The 5906-nt window shown below is 35.2% G+C and overlaps 1 annotated feature.

Moving 5' to 3' along the window:
* Nucleotides 4494–5693: an enhancer, noted in NCBI's record as "MED14-independent group 3 enhancer chr18:74938546-74939745 (GRCh37/hg19 assembly coordinates)". NCBI's record gives its function as "activates an origin of replication core promoter dependent on BRD2, BRD4, P300/CBP and CDK7 cofactors, and independent of MED14, by STARR-seq in HCT116 cells {active_cell/tissue: HCT116}" and the evidence as "EXISTENCE:reporter gene assay evidence [ECO:0000049][PMID:35650434]".

Genomic DNA, 5906 nt, shown 5'->3' with positions numbered 1-5906 from the left:
TCCCATAGCCTGGAGCAAAGACTCAGATTATTCTATGAGCAATAAATAAATTTCTGCCTGAATGAGCCATGGAAATATTGGGTCTATTTGTTACTGCAGCCAAGCATATCCTCGTTTTTATAATACCTCTTGGAAGAGGAGAAGATCACTCATTGTGTAGAATGGCGAGAATGAGGATTCATGGCAAAACCTTGAGGAGGAAAGATTTCAGGCACAAAAGCATGGGAAACCAAAATAGTGACTTGAGAAGGGACAGTCATACACACAGGAAGAGAGCAAGGAAGAGAAAGAGTGGACAGGGACAGAGACAGAGGAGAGAACTTCCACACTCAGGCAGTTGGCAATGACCTTGAGTGCTCCCAACAGGCCGGGAAGGATGAAAATGAAATTACACTACTGAAGCAGGCAATTAAGTAATTGTTGATTAAATAAATGTCAACTTCAGTGGACTTTTTGAATAATTACATAGTATCCATAAAATTACTGTCCTACTTTTGTTTGCTTAATCCAAGAAGAATTTCTGATATCACTGTATATTCTTGTTAGCTATCATTTTTAATCTATTGAGTGATATATGTTAACATACTTAGTCGTTTTCCTATTGTTAAATATTTAGATCACTTACAATCATAAAATATTGGAAGCAAGGTCACAACATTTATTCTTATGGAAATTTTTTCTTGTGATAGTTTATCTCCTTAGGATAAATATCTTTAGAAGTGTAATAATTTTATAAATGGTTTTTATAGCCCATGGCAATTATGCCATCAAAAATTAAATGACAATTTCTATTATTTTCTGCTAATTTAATATATCAAATCTTTTTACTTATTAAAATAGTTTAACAATTTTATCAAAAGCTATTAAATAAATGTATCATGACCTAACGTTCTAACCAGCTTGCTACAATAAAGTTCAACTTAATTAATTCATGCATATTAATGCAATAATAACCTCTCTTCATGCTGTTGCCAGTAACTGTTTAATAGGGCAACAGAGTATCATTGGGAATTACATACAAATGAAGGTTTCCTGTATCTTAAAAGAAATGGTACCTCAGCTCTTTCTCCCCCAGGCATATCAGTTACCTCTTCCTCCATGAGATCATATACAAGAACATTTATTAGGGTTATTTTAAAACAGAAAACTCTAAGTGGGAAATAAAAACGGCCCATAATCCTTTTACCTGATAACCCATGTTGACATTTTGTAACAAATGAAAGTAACACATGCACATGATCAGAAAATTCAGATAATAATGGAAGGTATAAAACTGAATGTGTCTAGAATAGGCAAATTCATAGGGACAGAAAGCAGAACACAGGTTACCAGGGTCTGGGGAGAGATAGGAGTGAAGAGTCATTGTTTAAGGGATAGAGAGGTTCAGTCTGGGAAGATGAAAAAGTTCCAGAGATAGACAGTGGGATGATTACACAACATCATGAATGTACATTACGTCACTGAAAAAAAAGGCAACTTTTTTCACTTTTTAAAAATTTTTTATTTCCACAGGTTTTTGGGGAACAGTTGGTATTTGGTTACATGAGTAAAGTTCTTTAGTGGTGATTTGTGAGAATTTGGTGCACCCATCATCTGAGCAATATACACTGAACCCAATTTGTAGTCTTTTATCCCTTTTATTCCTCACCCCCTCCCACCATTTTCCCCAAGTCCCTAAAGTCCATTATATCAATCATATGCCTTTGCATCTTCACAGCTTAGCTCCCCCTTATGAGTGAGAACATGTGATGTTTGACTTTCCATGCCTGAGTTTCTTCACTTAGGATAATGGTCTCCAGTTCCATCCAGGTTGCTGCGAATGGCATTCATTTGTTCCTGTTATGGCTGAGTAGTATTCCATCATATATATATGTATATACCACAATTTCCTCAACCACTGGTTGATTGATAGGCATTTGGGCTGGTTCCATATTTTTGCAATTGTCAATTTTGCTGCTATAAACATGCCTGTGCAAGTATCTTTTTCATATAATGACTTCTTTTCCTCTGGGCAGATACCTGGAAGTGGGGTTGCTGGATCAAATGGTAGTTCTCCTTTTAGTTCCTTAAGGATCTCCACACTGTTTTCCACAGTGATTACACTAGTTTACATTCCCATCAGCAGTGAAGAACTGTTCAAAAAAAGGCAACTTATATTTTAAAATTGGGGATAAAAGTTTCCCTCCTCTAGTCTTTACCTTTCCCGAAAAAACAATCACTAAGATTGTTTGACAAGTATCATTTGAGAAAAAATTACATGCATATAGTCCCTTATATATAAATATGTAGCATATATATATTTTTTATTTGCATGAATCAGATGATAGCTTATACAAAGATGTGGATTTTGCTTCTTTTTCACTTAGTAATATTTCTTGACCATCAACAAATGGAGCCATACCTTATTATTTTTTCATCTGTATAACTGCTCATTATATAAATTATTATAATTTATTTAATCTACTCTAGTCTCCTGGATATTTAGATCAATTCCTTATCCATATGTCCATATGATATAGGACAAATGATAGATATTTCCAAGGGACACTTGTGGAAATTTTTAAATAATAATGAGACTAAGATGAAGGTAATAGTCCCACCTTAATAATGTTGATGTGGAATTGACATTGTTTATGACTGTGAAGATATGACCTAATAATATATAACCCGTATAATGCAAAGCAGTTTTTAAATGATAACAATAGTAGTGACTAATCTAGCATTAAGTCAGTATTAAATTTGACCAATAATAATATGGGTGGTTTTTTTAAAAGTGGTAAAGTCACTGGAAGTAATTCATTCCTCTCACGATACTCTAGACCTTAGTGAAAGGAACAGAACAAGAACATGGGGATAAGGTATCTTTCGAAGGCTTCACATACATCACCTGTGGTTTTACCAGCTGCACCCTATGACAAACGCTACTTTTCCAAGTACTTGATTGAGAAATAGTTCAAAGATGTTCATATTATTCAAAGTTCTCCATTTTCATTCTGTGATGTTAGTTTTAGTCCAATAGATAAAAGATAACATGTCACTAGGAAAAATAAAGTTTTCAATCAATTTTAAATATTTATGTCAATATTGCCTCTTTATTCTACCATTATTAAAAAGTTAAACTCTTTCAAGTTAAACAGAAATGATTTATTAATAATTCCCAAACTAAATTATATAGTCAAAGCCAAATCCCAATAATTATAAGGGATTTGAGTTCTGAAGATAATTACTATATTCTTTTAGTTTCTTTCTGCTCAGTTTATCAGAATCTGCTCTCTAAATCTTCCCCCTTCATTTCTTCTTCATAGGTTTTACAAGCCAGTTTACAGAGGCAACAGGAGCATTTCTATTTCAGAACAAATTCCAGTATAATAACTTAGATGAATAAATAGCATGATCAATTTTGACATTCAAGATTGTGTGTTTCTAGCAAATAGCTAATAATTTTTAAAGTATTAAAGAAGATGCATCTCATTTGCAGCCTCTAATAAGTCTCTCCCAAATTGCTATAAAATGTAAGACTTTCAGCAGCACTGGATATAAAGACTGGCAAGTCAAATTAATCTCAGAAATTTGAAGGAAATAAAAATAAGCAGATAAACCTAAAGATTTTATAAAACAGCCTCAAAAAATAGAAACTACCTTAAAAAGGAAGTGGAGTTGGCAGAGCCTTCATAAATCCCAGCCCCACCTCATGTAAAGAAACAAAGGTAAATCAAACTAGAAACATGGACAGATATTCCCCATAGTACTTTAAAACAGTACTCCCTCTTCTCACTACTTTTAGCCATTAAACACCATCTGTCTTATTCACTCACAGCAGATTCCAGACTTTTAAAATCTAGAAAATGAATAGGAGCAGATTGAGACAAAAAGAGAAGGATGTGATATGATGAACATGCATGGTGTAGCCTCCACAGGTAAAGTTCGTGGGTTGGTGAAAATGTTTGAAATAACTTGGTAGAAAAGCAAGCTGGGATTTTTCATTGTCAAAATCTTCATAAACTCAAAGTATGAAAGAAACATAAATTATGGTTAGAATATGATGCATCCCAATAAATGCCATAGGGAAAACTTAAGATAAATTCAGAACCAGATTAAAAGCTCTGAGGACCTATGTGGATATGCCAGAAAAAACATATTATCACAACAGGGACAGAGATAAGGGGCCTAGAGCCTCACATGCACTGGCCAAGCTCGTCTCAACTTGAGTTTGAGTAAAGAAAAAACAAGTATAATGAGATTGAGAAATTGGCACTCCCTACACTCATCAAACAGTCTCGAAGAAGCAATCCAGTGTAAACGCGTCATCAAAGATCATCAGCCATGTAAAGACAACGGGGTAATATGGAAGAGAAAGATGAATAAAAACTGACAGGAAAAAAAGACAGAGATAACTCAGGGAACAGAAAGAAAATAATATTAGTTAACATTCTAAGATACTCAGGAAGATATTACTTTCACAAAATAAAATCAATATGCTCTAAAATGGAATAATCAGAGGACAAAAAGGGTTTTGGAGTCTAAAATATGCTTATAACTTTTCTAAAAAATAGAGTGAGGGAGGTATCCCAGAATGGAAGAGAAAAAAAAGACAAGAAGAATAAGAAAGACAAGAGACATAGCGTGAAGGCACCATCTGTGTCATCCCCCAACTGACTAACAGCAGACCTCGGAAGAGAAAAAAAGAGATGAAGAAATTGCCAAAGAAATAATAGAAGGAGGAGAATCCCTTGAGCCTGGGAAGCTGAGGCTGCAGTGAGCAGAGATGGCGACATGCACTCCAGCGTGGGAGATAGAGCGAGACCCTGTCTCAAAAAAAAATAATAATAGAAGAGACTTCCTCCACAGATCTAAAGATGAACGGAAGTTTTGAGAATCAAAACATTCACTTAGAGACAAGATAAATTTTAAAAGATTCACATCCAGAAACATTCTGAAGAAATTTGAGAACAGGGAGAGAAAATGGCAGCTTCCGGGGAGAAGAAGACGCCTCCGGTGTGTGACCGAGAAAACGACCCGCCTTGACCGTGGTTCCAGCAACACACGGGACTGATTTGAACCTACTCTACGCCCAAACAAGCTATCAATCACAGTAAGTCTTAAATAAAGACACCTTCAACTACGGAATAATGCAGAAACTGCACCCTTTCTTGTAAAACTAACTGAGGATGTTATAAAGGGCTACAGTGTATTATTCATGAAACAGGGATATAATGCCAAGCTACTACAAGTTCGATTCTGGACACATGTGAGGATGTGTGAGATATATATTTTTTTCTTGTCAATAAAAGAGAAAAAACACAACCAGAAATTTACAGGAGAAAATTAAAACTCTACCATGGCATAATTTTAAACAATTGATGGAAAATATGTCTAAGGGAAAGAACTTGCGTGGTGAATTCTTGGAGCGTTGTCTTTTTAGTAACGCAGCTTGCCTACCGTAGTGCACAGAGAAGGCTCGTCTTCCCTACAGACCATTTGTCTCTGCTCTTACAATGCAGAGGATAAAAGCATGGAACCCGGACTCTGACCATTTAGATTCCACCCCAGCTCTGCCCTTTACATCTGAGAGACCTCGAGGAAGTCATTTAAACCCCATATCCATCAGTTTCTTCATTGGCAAAATGGGGATGAAAATAGCAGCATCTAAGTCATGGTGTTGCTCCACCACCAAAACGTACAAAGACAACATCAAAACGTTCGCTCGGCCTCCCTACATAACATTAATACAGCAAACCTTAGTAACTTAGAAGCAAATGCAATCCTGTGTTATAGAAAACGATGATTTGTTCAAAAATGTTTGTCAAACAAATGCTTATTGATCAACCACAGTAAGTTAGGCTTATTACTGTAATCCAAGAATGGTTTGTTTAATAACTAGAAACAGTTTAATCTAATTCATTACA

The sequence above is a fragment of the Homo sapiens genome, chromosome 18 (genome assembly GCF_000001405.40).
Source record: "Homo sapiens chromosome 18, GRCh38.p14 Primary Assembly".
Classification (NCBI taxonomy): domain Eukaryota; kingdom Metazoa; phylum Chordata; class Mammalia; order Primates; family Hominidae; genus Homo; species Homo sapiens.
Note: the sequence above shows the minus strand (reverse complement) of the source record. Positions and strands in the feature narration are given on the sequence as shown.